This window comes from Homo sapiens, chromosome 15 (assembly GCF_000001405.40).
Source record: "Homo sapiens chromosome 15, GRCh38.p14 Primary Assembly".
NCBI classification, from domain to species: domain Eukaryota; kingdom Metazoa; phylum Chordata; class Mammalia; order Primates; family Hominidae; genus Homo; species Homo sapiens.
Window position 1 is genome coordinate 80,833,580 of NC_000015.10, and position 15,299 is coordinate 80,848,878.

The following is a 15,299-nucleotide window of genomic DNA, read 5'->3' on the forward strand; positions in this document are numbered from 1 at the left end:
GTGTGGGGGGCATGGGCAGAGGCAGTCAAGATGGCTCTACCCTCCTCATCATCATCATTTGTAGTAGGAGCAGCAGTACTGTCTTTTTTTTTTCTTTTTTTTTTTTTTGGACAGAGTCTCACTCTGTCACCCAGGCTGGAGTGCAGTGGCATGATCTCTGTTCACTGCAATCTCTGCCTCCCAGGCTCAAGTGATTCTCCTGCCTCAGCCTCCTTAGTAGCTGGGATTACAGGCTTGCATCACCACACCCAGCTAATTTTTTGTATTTTTAGTAGAGATGGGGTTTTGCCATGTTGGCCAGGCTGGTCTTGAACTCGTGTCCTCAAGTGATCTGCCTGCCTCAGCCTCCCAAAGTGCTGGGATTACAGACGTGAGTCACTGTGCTCAGCCTTCTTCAGCATTATTGATAATTGGGGCTGGATGACTTTTTGTTTTGGCGGGCTATTCTGTGCATTGTAGGGTGTTTAGTGGCACCCTTGGCCTTCATCCACTAGGTGCCAATAGCACCCCCACCTCCCAGTTGTCTCCCAAAATGTCTCCAGACATGGCAATATGTCCTGAGGGGGTTGGAAAAAGGGTAAAATCACCCCCAGTTGAAAGCCACTGATTTCTCTATGTATTCTGGATAGGAACCCTTTGTCAGTTAAATATTTTGCAAATATCTCCTCCCACTCTGCAGCATGCCTTTTCAGGCTCTTAAAGGTGTTTTTGATGAACAGAAGTTCTTAGTGTAGTCCAGTTACCAATCTTTTTTAAAATTGTTAGTCCTTTTTTATTTCTGTTTTACACATCTTTGCCTGTCCTACCTTTTCTTCTGGAAACTTTATTTTTGTCTTTCACACTCAGAGCTACCATCTACATTGGGATTGACTTTTTGCATGGCCAAAAGTAGAGTCAGGCTTCATTTTTAAAATATGGCTATTCAATTGACTCAGCAACTTTTATTGAAAACATTACTCTTTCCTTATTGCCCTGGGGAGCCACAGCTGTCATAAATCAAATGTCTATAATCCGTGTGGCTGTCTTTTATTCTGTTTCATTGGTCCATTTATGTATCCTTGTAACAATACTACGCTGTCTTAAAGACTTAGCTTTAGCATATGTCTTGAAATCCAGGAGATTAAGGCCTCCCACTTTGTTCTTTGAGATTGTCTTTACTGTTCTTGGCCCTTAGCAGTTTCACACAACTTCTAGAATCACCTTGTCAGTTTCCATTAAGGGAAACATAGTGGCGTTTTGTTTGGGATTCTCCCTATCAGTTTGGAAAAAAAACCAAATATTTACAATATTGAGTCTTCCAATTCATGAAGATAGGATCTATCCATTATTTAGGCCTTTGAAAATTTGTCTCTTTCTCAAAAAAATATTTTTTTGCTTTAAAAAAAAGAGCATGTGGCAGCTTCTTATATTACTCAAGTGTTGTTATTTTTCAAAATAGGGATTGTTTGCATTTTTAGGAGATTATGTTTCTTGGACTAAAAACTATTCTGAGTCCTCATTGCAGAGAGAGAGAGAGAGAGAGAGAAAGAGACAGAGAGCAAGAGAGCATGCAGCCAAATTTCTTAGCTTGGCATTCAGTGGGTTTAGCAAGCTAGCTCCAGCCCGCCTCCTGCCCTCCTTCTTCCTATCTTATATATCTTTTCTTTTGGCCCTATGAAGCTACTCCAAGTTCCCCCAATTCACCATGCTTTTGCTCCTACTGTCCTCTCTGCCTGGAATGTCAGGAAGGGCTTCATGGAGAATGTAGTACCATCGCTGAGTTCCAAAGTAGGAATTTCTAGGCAGAAACAAGGGAATACCCATGGGCCACCAATGCCTAACCAGGCCCAAGACAGGGTAGGAGCTCAATCAGTATCTGCCCACCTGGGATATTTGTCAGGTCCCGGGTCTGGGTGATAGGCAGGGGCCCCGCATGGCCACCCTTCAGCCTGCAGGGGCAGCCAATCTCTGCTTTTCTGGCTCAAAGAAGGAAGCAGTTTGTCTCAAACATGTGGAATCTACCAGCCTGTCTTTCCGTAGTCTGCATCCACGGGGTGCCCACAAAGTCTGGAAACAGATATTATTTTGTTCATTACAGATTGGAAATGTCCTTGAGGACATTGTGTATGTTCACCTGTGTGTCCAGGGTTGGTGGGCACCTGGGATTTCTTAGGGGTTTCCTCTTTCTTAGGGACCTTGCAGGCTGGTGCTATGATCATCCACAGTCTCCCTTCTCCCACGGTCTGTTTCTCTCTGCCTCACTGTTGCCACAGACAGTCTGGACAGATTACAGCTTTGCCCCAACTTGAACCATGGATTTTTCTTTTCAAAATAAAACATAATAAAATTTTGGTGAAAATGGAAATATCTACATGTTTATTTTTAAGTGTTTTTTTTTTAAATGTTAAGTTTTTTGGTTGGTTGGGAAACATCAAAATAGGTCATGTGTAACTTGGTTTGCTCATAAAAAAAAAGTGGCTCATACTTGGTATATTTAGAGATGAGACGGAAGTGATTTTTTTTTTTTTTTTTGTATTCAGTTTTTCTCTATTTTTCTTTTTAAACCAAAAAGTGCTTGGAAAATTTCTCCACCCTATCCACTGTTAGTGCATTTTCCTGGCCTTAAAATTCTGGTAAAGCCTTCTGTTGCCCAAACTGAAGAGTTAAGTGTGCTGAGCTTGGCTTGACCTTCAGTTCTGCTTCTCTAAGAGCGAAAAGGCATCTTTTTCAGGACTGGTGCTATTAATGGGCTGAGGAGGACAGTGTTCCGAAGGGCAGAAAAATGCCTTCCTCTGTGAGAAATTAAGGCAGTGATTTCAAACAAATTGTTTCGCCAGTGTCTGGCATCCCTGCGGGTTGTCTCTGGTTTTCGTCCACTTGTACCAAATGCATTCATGAACATGGCAGACATTTTGCTGAAGGTCTCACAGGGAAGGACGGCTTGGAGACACACATTCCGTAAAAAACAGCTTGAAAACCTTCCTCAAACGTTTCTGTTTTCCATAGTTCCTTTTGCCATAGCGTCCAATCCTATGAGTTCTTTTGTTTTTCCTTTTCCTCCTGGATTTTCTGCCTCCTTACCTCCTGGGTTTTCTGCCTCCTTACCTCCTGGGTTTTCTGCCAGCCTTACCCTCTACCTCCATCACATCCAAAGGCCTCCTGCTTATTATGCAGAGAAATTTGGTCTGGTGTCAGCTTCCACGCCCAGATTTTAATTTTTTTATCCAACAGGGCATTCAGCAAATGAAGACCCTGCAGTTACCAGGACCAGAGCAGTAGGAAGTTATAAGTGATATTTTGCAGCAAGGCAGAATAATGTGATAGGATTGTAAGGGCTAAGCAGTGGAGTCCTAGAAGATGTCCTGAGCCCCTGGCTGCCTTGAGTTCTATTTTGGAAACGTTATTTCTAATTTCTCCCCAGTCCCTAGCTCCCAACTACCAGAGCTGGCCCCAGAACCACTCTCCCCTTCACTGGGAACAGACCCACATCCAACATCCCTATTCTATCTGCAATCATCTGCTGACTGTGGTCTAAGGGATGTGTCTGGCCCCCAGCACAGGCCCTGAGGCCAAGGAGAAGATGAGGTTGCTAAAACTCCAGGGCACTACCAGGCCCTCCTCAGTTATCTGTGGTTGCTCAGAATGATTTGCTTCATAAGCACTCCGAGACGCACAGATGGGGGAGAGTGATGTCATACCAGATTCCATGCTTGATAGACAGACAGATGGATATGCAAATGGAATGAACGAGAGAGATGGGAGGGGTGTAAATGATGGGTGGTGGAGTCTAGAATCAGGTAAGCAGAGGGTTTCCCAGGCTCCTTTGGAAGAGGAGTTCAAAATGACAAGACGCAAAGAACACCATTCTTTATGGCAACCTGGTACAGAACACAGGCACCAGCTCATGTCTGTCCTCACAACACCCTTGAGAGGTCACTGGAGCTTAGGAAACCAAGGGTTGCCCAGAAACATACAGTCAAAACTCAGATTCTAATGCCAGAGTTCCAGCCACTTCACCAGACTGCCTCCAAGAAGTTGCCACTGGTTGGCTGGAAGTCTTGTTCCAAATACTATCTGATGATATTTTCCTTCTTCCCCATCTGCCTTCCTTCAAGAGGAAGTAAACAGATATTCTAGAGCATCTGAACCAAGCATCTTTGCATTTATTTGGGGACATTATTAGTGTCATTTCTTTTCATTCAAGATGCCAGCTGTTGGGGGCAAAGTTGCCCCGCTGAGCTCATGGTATAGACATGGGCAGTTGCTAAAGTAATCCCTCCCCACCTGGAGGTTTCACCTTGCATCCCAAATACCACCCCTGCACAGACTGGGGTCTCTCATTGCTTTCCTCTGTGCCCTCCACTGGCCACACCAACTTCCTTGTTTACCCATCTTAGGTGAGAACACCCTTTCTCCCATGGACTCCTACCAATGCATTTCCCACTCTGCCCCTCTGGCTGTCCCAGGTGTGCTGTATGCAACAGCCCCCCCAGGTCTCTATGCTGCTGTTCCCTGCCCCAGACTCTCTGCTTGTCCAGACCCTGACCTGCGATGTGGAAGTGTGATAGAGGAGAGGGAATTCCAGGCAGAGTAGGAGCGGAGATGACCCATCCACATGCGTTCCACTCGCAGGGAGCGGAGGGTGGGGACGAGTCATTCATAGGGACTCCACACCCAGCTGGCTGGAGCAACGGGTCTTGCAGGTGAGCCCAGCCTGTCAGGACCCTCCTTCCTGGCAGGGACCCTGCTGGCCCGTGGGTGATGCCTTTCTCCTTGGCGCTGCCTCCAGAACTGTGGCGAGGCAGCCGTTTTCAAATGTTTGTTTGGGTTTTCTGGAAGCTCTTTGAAGTTGGAATGAAAAATCTGCCTAGTGGTTCTGAAATGGCCTCTCTGGCTCAGCAGGCCTGGGTCCTGCATCATTCCCTTGGTTCAAGGCTGAGTGCAATGCCACCACCCATTGCTGCCCAAATATGATGGTTGGATTGAAGTTCCCAGATATGTCATCAGGCCCCTTTAAGAAGTTCTCTTTCCTCTATGTTGTTCTACGCGCCTCATCCACCTCACTAGTCAGGAGGTCCTTGATGATAAAACCCCCCGTGTGATTTGTCTTTGTATTCCCAAGACCTATCCCAATGCCCTATACTCAGTGGCAACCACTATTGACACAGCTCTTTAAAATTCATAGAGTACTTCCATGTTCTCTCTTCAGAAGTATAAGGAAGGCATTCCCATTTTGCAGACGAGCACACTGAGGTTCAGACAGGTTGGGCAACTTGCTTTCAGTGACTCAGCTAGGACGGGGCAGACTGAGTATTTGACCCTGTGTGGCTCCAAAATCTGTGCTCCCCGGCTTCTGCCCTGCTTTCCCTGGACAGCCAAAGCGCTCCGTGCATGTTTGGTGCTGAGGTATTAGGGGGTTTAAGTCACAGGGTGTCCAGCACTCAGGAGCTGAGGCCACCCGCAGGCGTCTTGGTTGGCAGCTGAGCCCTCTGAGGTAACAGGAAATAGAGGCAGCGGGACTCAGGCTGGGGTTGAGGTGTTCGGGGTAGCAGGAGAGGAGGAGAAGCTGCTGAAGTGGTGGCAGCCACACTCAGTGAAGTAAGAGGCGCCCCTGCCCAGCGGCCTGAAAGCCACTTCTCCTCAGCCAGCAGGAATCGCATTCCATAGCACAGGAAGCCTCTGTTCAGAGGAGGTCCAGTCAGGAGTGAAGGCTGTGGAGTCAAGGCCGTGAGTGTGTGTGTGTGTGTGTGTGTGTGTGTGTGTGTGTGTGTGTTTAATTTGTGGCTTCAACAGAGGCCAGACTTAAGAATGAATGAAAGAGACAAACAAGGGCAGCTTGTCCCAAGTGGGGGAGGGAGAAGTGTGGACACCAGCTTCTGAGGGAGTCAAGTGCAAAGTCCTGGGCTCCCTGCAAACCGGGCCCTGCAGGAGGGCCAGCACCCGCAGCAGCAGCAGCGAAGCCGGCCAGACCTCCTGGCCTTCCTCACAGCAGAAGGGTGGGCCTTCAGCAACGGGGCCCTGTGCAGTGGGAAAAGGCAACACTGTGCTTGCCTTTGTGGCTAACAGGGGCTGTGCTGCAAATGCTTCAGGAGAGCCCCTGCAGGCTGAGAGGGACATTAGAAAGTTCCATCCTCTTCATCTGCCCACCTCCCTTGGACTGTGGGCTGTGGGCTGCATGGGGCACAGGCACAGGGCTGGATGTGTGGGGCAATTCACCCTCCCAGGTGGTCATTCCTTCTGGCTTTTTATTTGTCCAATATTCCTTCAGTCTCGATTATGTCCCAGGCAAAGTGCTAGACACGCCACACACATTTTCTTCCCTTGCCCTCACAACAACCCTAGCAGGTTGGCACTATCCACCGCATTTTATAGCTGAGGACACAGAACTGTAAAAATGAAGAAGTGACAAGTCCAAGGCCACCCAGCTGGGAAAGGTGGGGTGGGACTTGAAGCTGCTGAGTCTTTTTGAATCTCCTCCTCTAAGGGGCCCCCCAGGCCAGCAGGGAAGAGAAAGTCATAAGCACCCAATTCTGGTAGAAGGCAGAAAGTGGAAAGGGGGGTGTCTAAGTCCCAAGGTGCTTCCTAGGGGCTCGGAGGGTGGCCCCAGAAGACCCCGGGGGATCAGTGTTCTCCAGGAGTCTTGAAGGGCAAGTGTGATGTGGAAGTGTGATAGAGGAGAGGGAATTCCACACAGAGTAGGAGCAGAGATGACCCATCCACTCGCGTTCCACTCACGGGGCATGGAGGGTGGGGACGAGTCATTCATGGGGACTCCACACCCAGTTGGCTGGAGCAGCAGGTCTTGCAAGTCAGCCCAGCCTGTCAGGACCCTCCTTCCTGGCAGGGACCCCGGCTGGCCCACGGGTAATGCCTTTCTCCTTGGCGCTGCCTCCAGAACTGTGGCGAGGCAGCCGTTTTTAAATGTTTGTTTGGGTTTTCTGGAAGCTCCTTGAAGTTGGAATGAAAAATCTGCCTGGTGGTTCTGAAATGGCCTCTCCGGCTCAGTGGGCCTGGCTCCTACAGCATTCCCTGAAGAAGTAAACAGGCCCGTGCAGGGGGAAACTGCAGGGGCCACACTGCTGGACTGCTGGGTGTCCCTGGCCCGAGGCGTGGGAGGCCGGCCCTGGGCCCTGCAGCGCCCGAGTGTTTGCCCAGTTGCCCTGGACACACCAGCCTGGGGTGCAGGGACCACTGCCGCCTGAGAGGGAGTCCTAGGGGGTCCAGGACAGGAAGCCAGCGGTGTTTTATGTTACATTAGGAACACCAGCAGGCTTTCTGGAGTGGACTGAGCCTTGTGGTCAAGAAATAGGCAGGCTTGGAGGCTGTCGGGCTTCCCACCATGCAGCCACCATGCCTCACCTTCATTAGCTGACAAAGCAGTTCTCTGTCCTCACTGGCCACAAGGGGAGGAGGACACAGCTTTTGGAAACCTCCAGGCTGCTATCCTGGAACCTGGAGCCACGGCCAGGGACAGCTTGAGCGTCCCCTCCCCTCTCATCTTGTCCTCTGAGGGGTAGGCTGTGCCCCAGCTGAACGGGGCACCTGTGGCTTTGCCAGCTGATGGCTGCCATGTGGGAATTTGGACCTGGGTTGCCAGATCTTCAGATTTTCCAGCAAAGCTGGAAATCCAGATGTTTGTATGAAACTTCCCCAATTTAAAAAATGTTTAAAAACACTATGCAGGACGACCTATACACATCTGCAGGCCAGACTCGGTCCCTAGGCAGCCAGTTAGTGACCTCTACTCTCTGCCTTCAGACACCCAGGGCCACCTAAACAAAGGGCCCCCATGACAGTGATGGGTTGGGGGTGGAGAAAATGCTCTAGGAGAGACCCTGGAGTCCACAGGCAAGAAGGGCATGGGATCATCCTTTCCCTGCTCCTCCTAAAGGGCAGGCACTGCTCCACTTCTTGGTTCCCGTCCACTCTGTTGGTACAGACATGGGGGAAGCGGGCAAGGGATATGACTTCTAGAATTTGGACCTTGTTTCTCTCTCAGGCACTTCCACTTGCCCTTAACCTGATCTCCTGCTGGTTCAGTCCACCTGGTATGTTTATCAGGAGGCTCTTTCTTTTTCCTTCCTTCTCTTCTCTGTCCATGGCTTTCCCTCTTACAGGTCCTTGGTAGCTGCCGGAGCCCTCCCTCCAGGGGGTGTTGGCCAATGACAAGGCTGGGAGGCCAGGGCCGACCAATCAGAGCAGTTGGCCGTATTGCTGGGAATTAATAGCAACATTGCATATGGGGAAAGCATGAGATTTGGGATCACACAGACCTAGATTCAACGCCTTCCCTAACTGGCCAAAAGACCTTGAGACAGCTGCACAAATTTCCTGCAACTCTGTTCCTCATCTGTAAATGGTGATACTAATTCCTGGCGGGGATTACATACAAAGATGCATGGAAAATGCCTAGCACAGTGCCTGGGATATATTAAGAGCTCATCCATAGTTGTCACTGATTTGAGACAGTGACAACTATGGATGAGCTCTCAATATATTCTTGAGTTGCATGTCTATCAGAAGATGTGATGCCAGGTTCTCAACAGTCAACTTAGAAACACACTCTTGGAATAGAAACACGTTGGGTACCATTTGTACGTGTATTATATATGTATTTCCTTTTCATCTTTTACCTATTCTCTTTTAAACAGAGTGGTGGATTAAAAGGTAATGAATTACGCACAAAGTAGCTTCTCACTTCTCACTGCCTTTCATTTTTCTTCTCCTCCTACTTGGCCTTTCTCCCCCACCAGGACCTTTACTCTGGTCTTCTGTGTTTGCTAATTCATTAGTCAACAAATGTTTACTAAGCACAAAGACTCGTTCTTTGTTCTCAAGGGAGGGAGGCAGACAGATGATTGCAGCAAGGTTGAGGATAAAGAGAAATCCGGGGTTGGGTGCGGTGACTCACACCTGTACTCCCAGAACTTTGGGAGGCTGAGGCGGGTGGATCACCAGAAATCAGGAGTTTGAGACCAGCCTGGCCAACATGGTGAAACCCCATCTCTACTAAAAATACAAAAATTAGCTGGGCGTGGTGGCAGGCATCTGTAATTCCAGCTACTGGGGAGGCTGAGGCAGGAGAATCGCTTGAACCTGGGAGGCAGAGGTTGCAGTGAGCCGTGATTGTGCCATTGCACTCCAGCCTGGGCAACAAGAGCGAGACTCCATCTCAAAAAAAAAGAGAGAGAGAGAAATCCAGGATGTGGAGGGGCCTGGAGTGCAGAAGACATCTGGGAGATCTTAGAGAGAGGCTTGAGGTTTGAGAGAGAATAAGGGTCGTGGCAGCAGGAATGAGGAAGAGATGGATTCATGAGACCTGTAGAGGGACCTTCCAGGAGGTCCCAGGGGTCAGTGGATGGGAAGAGCCAAGAGGAACTCCTCATTTCTGTTTAGATGATTGAGTGGATGACATTGTCACCAACTGAAAGCAGAAGCAGCAGAGAACATCTTGCTAGTGAGAGGTGATGAGCTGGACCATACAAGGTGACCTTTAAAATGCTGGTGGGACAACCAGGTAGAACCATCCCATAAATGATAACAGTGAACTCACTACATGCCAGACTGTCTTAGGTGTTGTATCTTATTTAATCTCCACGATGGCCTTATGAGGGAAGGCACCATCATGATCCTTACTTTTCAGGTGACTATTTTAAGGGTAAGAAATATTAGGTAACTCACCAGTCCAGTGGTCACTGGTTCAAGTGAGTAGAGCTAGTCTGACTCCAGAGCCCATCTTCTTGCCCATTTCATGTATTTATTCAATTAACATTTATTGAAGACCTACTATGAAGCTGGCACCGTTTAGATGCTTTGAATATATCAGTCAAGAAGACCTGCCTTCACGCAGCTCCTGTTCTACTGCGCACACTGCCTCTGCTCAGAGACAGCTGAGGATATGGATGACAGTTCTGGCTGGAGGGGCAGGGGGGCTGCTACACCCACTCCCACTCTGAAATCTCACTTCCAGGGTGAGGGACAGGTGCTTCCTTCACCCACCCACATCAGTCTATATCCCCATGCTAACCATTTTGCTTTGTGCCAGGCCAGGTGGCAGAAGGAAGGGCAGATGCTTGAGAAGGACAGTCATAGAATAGTTCCTTCTAACCCTTTTGTGGCGTCAGTCTCAGACGGTTTCTATATGGAGCTGGACATATCCCTCCATCTCTATCAGCTCATGGTGGAGACCATGTGTTGAGGAGATCATGAAGGGGCTCTTCCTCTGGGTGCTCTGTCACCCAGCCCCCAGCAGCCCACCCAGGTGTCAAAAGACAGGTCTGCCCCTCACTCCAGAGAATAGCTAGGATCCTGGTGGCATGGCACTTTGGAAAGTATGAGACCCCTCCTTGTTTTACAGAAGAAGAAACTGAGGCAGGGAGCAGCCAGTCATTGCCCGAGGCTTCCTGGCAAATTAGTGACAGAGCCAGTTGAGAATGCAGCCCACGTTTGTGTTGCTTCAACTCAGCCCCAGATCCTTCACTCTCCATGGGGGCTGCTTTGGGGAAGCCAGCTTTGCACCCCCACTTCCCTGGAAGGCAGAGCACTAAGGCTGCCACCCAGCCATCGCTCAGGCGGGTCCACACAGCCCCGGGCCAACCTCCCTGGCACTCACACCCAGTGTCCGGAGCAGCTGGTCAGTGGGCGTGGAGCTCCTGCTTGTGTGCCCCCACCCCTGTCGCGCCCTCCCCCTGCCTGGGATGAGCTGCAGCTGCCTCGGGGCCTCTCTGCCTGCGCCCCCCAGCCAGCCTGTGCCCTGCTTTAATGTGTCCTGGGGAAAATAGCTGGCAATGCTCAGGCGACAAGCAAAGGCCATTTTTTAAAAAAAGACTAATGCCAGGATGAGGGGGCAGGAGGGGGTGGAAACAGCTGCAGGCTCCTCTTCCAAATTTAGCCAGGTGACTGCTTTGCCCTGCTCCTCTTTCTCTGGGGTTTTTGGGTGGCCATTGCCTCCATGGTAGGACTGTGTTCCTGAAAACCACCCCCCAGATGACTCACAGAGCTGTGGCAGCTCAGAGAGGAATGTCTATTCATTTCAGCTGGGGCTCTTGTCAGCCAGTTGGACCTGACCAGCAGCTCCACTGTTGCAGAATTGGGCTGCTTCCTACTTCCTGTGTCCCCATCCGATTTCAGGGCCTACCATCCCCAAAGTGACAGAAGATAGCATGGAATGAGGCAGCCATGCCCAGATATCAGAGGTGCTGAAAACATCCTGAGGCTGTGTAGAAACACAGCGAAGATTGGGGCATGGAGCAGGAGCAGGAGAGAAGCCAGGTGGCCCAGCCTTGGGTTGGGAGAACAGGGCATGGCCCCAGCCCCAGGGTGCCCATGGGCAGGACTCAGAGCCCCAGAACCGAGCACTCACCATGTCCACTTCTCATTTATTCTTTAAGTGTTAGAAGGACCTTCAAATCAGCTCATCCAGATGTTCCTAAGTATGAATGATTTGTAAAACGATTTTATGGATATATATGGATAATATATATCCATAAATATTATCCATATACATATATAGATAAAGCTAAATTGTTCTGCATAACCAGTAATTTGACAATTATTTATTGGGGGATGAATCTAATGTCTGAGGAGGAATACATTTCAAAAATATATTGAGGCCGGGTGTGATGGCACTTTGGGAGCCAAGGCAGGAGGATTGCTTGAGCCCAAGAGTTTGAGATCATCCTGGGCAACATAGCTAGACCCTGTCTTCACAAAAAATTTAAAATTTAGCCAGGCGTGGTGGTGCATGCCTTTGGTTCTAGCTACTTGGGAGGCTGAGGCGGGAGGATCTCTTGAGCCTGGGAGGTCAAGGCTGCAGTGAGCAGTGATCACACCACTGCATTCTAGCCTGGGCAACAAAGTGAGACCCTATTTCAAAAAAAGTACCCAGAAATATATTGAGCAAATATGGTGCTACATACAGTGTGGATGATACAGGTAGTATATGAACATGGCACTAAAAAACCTGTCAGTGGAGCCTATTTGAGAAAATATGGGAAATGCTGATCATCACCTTCCTCTTTGTTCTGGTTTTCTGGTCTTCTTCTCTGGTCTCCTTCTCCTTGGTCTTCATCCAGGGAAAACAGACAGTTCTATGAACTGATTTTGGTGTGGTGGGATCTGGGACAGCAGGCATTCCAGCCTTTAACCTTCCCACAGTGACTTTGGCTGTGACCTGGGATGGAGTGGGCAGGCCATAACTGAGGTGGAAAATCCTGTCAGTGAGCTAGATCGAGTCATTAGGCGGAGCTGGATGGGATCAGAGAAAATGGCTTAGACCCTGGAGTGTCACGAAAAGACACACAAGGCAACTAGTGAAGTCAGCAGACATTCCAGCACCTGCCCTCCTCCCTCCATCCTCTAGATCTAGGAGACTCCTCCTGACACACCCACCTCAGACACTTCAGCCTGTCCCTGTTCTGGGCACGCATGCCCTCTGCTACATACACTCCCACCCTCAACATCACTTCCAGGCTGAGGGAACAGGTGCTTCCTTTACCCACCCACCTCAGTGTAAATCTCCATACAGACCATTTTGCTTTGGGCCAGGCCAGGTGGCAGAGGGAAGGGGAGACACTTGGGAAGCACAGTCATGGAATACTTTCTATCTAACCCTTTGGCAGTGTCAGGCCCAGATGGTTTCTATTATGGAGGTGGACGTTTCCCCCATCCCCATAAACTCACCCACATAGGCCCGTGTGGGACATGCATTGACTCATTCACTTATAGTCACTCAACCAACCAGAGCGCTCTTCCCCCGTCTCTCTCTGGGTCAGTAATGCTTGTCTTGCAGGTCTCCAGATAGCCCGAGACAGGCTTTTCCTCCCCCAGGAAAACCTTTCCTGTGCTTCACCTGCTGGGTGGATCACCTGTCAGTAGTGCTTAGCCTGCACTAATCATCGTTGTAGGTCAGAGGCCTCTGGAGCAGCTATTCATGTGCTTGGCCGTCTGGGTCAAGGGAACTGATGTTCAAACAGGATGTGTGCAAGCTCATCTTCTCACCGGGGTGGTACTGATACTGCCCAGGAAACTAGTGAGGAGTGAACTTGATGAGTAACAGCAGCTTAGAGACAGTGTCATCTCTTTTCTCAGACCCATGTGGAAGGGAGAAAGGCCTGCCTGCCGGTGGTCCCGATGCCACTAGGTGGGGCAGGATTTGAGTGATCAGCTCAAGATCTGAAAGATCAAAGGTGGCTGAAATGAAAAGGACGCTTTCTAAGCATAAATGTGAAGTCCTAATTCCTGGCTCAGCAACTCAGCTGTTGATACTAGAGCCTAATAATCACTTGTTGTGGTGACAAGACTTGGGGGCTTTACTCAGTGGTTTCCATTTCCTGGCTGTGCACTGGAAGCCCTGAGCACGTTTTTAAAAGATCAAGTCCAGGGTTCCATCCCAGAATGTTCAGAATGAAGATCTCCAGGAAAGGACTTAGGAAATTGTGTATTTTAGAAGTTCTCCAGGTGGTTCTTATGTAGCTTTTGATTATTTTGGAGGTGGGGTGGGCAGGACAGGGTCTCGCTGTGCCACGCAGGCTGGAGTGCAGTGGCACAATCTTGGCTTCTCTATAGGAAAGCCTTGACCTCCCCAGCTCAAGCCATCCTCCCACCTTAGCCTCCCAAGCAGTTAGGATTACAGGCATGCACCATCATGCCTGGCTAATTTTTGCATTTTTAGTAGAGATGGGGTTTCGCCATGTTGGCCAGGCTGGTTTTGAACTCCTGACCTTAAGTGATCAGCTCACCTTGGCCTCCCAAAGTGTTGAAACTGCAGGCATGAGCTGCTGCACCCAGCCCTTATGTAGCTTTTGGAAACAAGTGAGGAGTGAACTTAGGGCTTTATGGGAAGCATCAATACATTACATCAATAAACCAAATGTGAGCCAACAGAAAGCTTCCGGGTTGGGGTGCAGTCTGGGCTCACCACAGCTCTAGCAGCGACTCAGGACCATGTTGTGAAGAAAGTAAAGATCCAGTCCCTTCACTGCTATACCACCTGGGAGTAGGACCCCCAGAATCCAATATTTCAGGTATTTCATCTGCTCTAGCAAGATGCCTTTGACAAACAGCTGCAATTTGTGCCTGTGTGATGGTCCTAGTCACCAAGGGTGGTGGCCAGCAAGGCTACTGAGAAAATAGATCCTCACTCCATGGGCTCAGAAGGCTGATGCTGGGACCATCTTCTTTCATTCTGGCAAAACCGTGGGTTTCTTCAGAATGTCAAAGTGCAGAAGGGCGCTGTGGGTGGCAGGATGCTTGCTGGCCAGGTAGCAGATGGAAATCAGTGTCCCTGCCCACCCAGGAGGAGCCAGGAGCAGAAGGTGAAACAGTGAGCCGTGGAGATGCTCGACTCTTCCTGAGATTCCTTCCATGATTTCCAGAGACGGTGAAGTCACGATGCACAGCTCTCCAGCATGTGCATCTCCTCCTCAAATGCCTTCTGCAGGGACAAAGAGGACTTTATCCTCAAGAGTGGGACACAGTTCTGTAGCAAAATGTGGCAGGTTGAATGGAAATAATGATCTTCAGAACTTTAAGAAGGAGATGACCCAGATGAAATAGAAATTGGGTAATTTATCAGAAAGCCTGGAAAAACATCTGAGAGAGACCCCTGCAGGAGACTGAGGTCTGGAAGGGCTGAGGTAGCGTATTCTTATTCTGGCCTCCACAAGCCGCATGGACTCCTCCTATCTGGCCTCGTCACCTGGCCTCCACCAGCCTTTTTCCTATAGGGAAGCCACTCACGCTCCACAGTTCTGGGAAACGGACTGATGAGAGATTTAGTTCTGGACAGCCGCCCCTCAACTGTTCCTGTTCCATGCTCTGACACCTCGGGTTGGCCTCAGACAATCTACTCAACACCTTGTAATACATTTATAGACCTGTGGCTCAGGAAAAGCTGTGGGGAAGGACAGAGCTTCAGCAGGCCAAGTCCCAAGCCTGTGGGGCCTTTTCTTCTTGAACTCATGCAGTGGCTGGCATTTCTAGGGAGAGGGCTGAAGTTCAGTTCACATCGTCCCATTTATGGAGGATCTCTCTTGGGGTTATTCTTCCAAGGAGCATCAGCAAGAAAGGAAGGAAGCCATCTCTTGATGTCCTGGGGCACTGCCTGCCCATAGATGAGAAGGGGTTCCCAGGCGGAAAGAAGGGGTGCAGGAAGCTGCACCCAAGAAACCAGTTTCCCCAGCTTCTGAAAGTAGGGCCAGCCCTGCAATGTGGGGTGCAGCTGCCCAAGAGGGGCTAAATGGACCTTGCAGGGTCACTCCAGATGAATCTTTTCTGCACTCCCAGAACTCAGGCCTCAACCTCCTCATGGTCAGTGTGTT

The 15,299-nt window shown here is 49.6% G+C and overlaps 1 protein-coding gene and 1 non-coding gene across 10 annotated transcripts in view; one reads left to right on the top strand and one right to left on the bottom strand.

Annotated features, from left to right (window-relative positions):
• The window catches only part of CEMIP (cell migration inducing hyaluronidase 1), a 172,402-nt gene that overhangs the window by 54,210 nt on the left and 102,893 nt on the right, over positions 1 to 15,299 (top strand). The window lies entirely within an intron of this gene.
• Positions 8,399 to 8,494, bottom strand: MIR549A (microRNA 549a). Its single transcript, NR_030393.1, has one exon. It is a non-coding gene; the product is annotated as a microRNA 549a (primary transcript).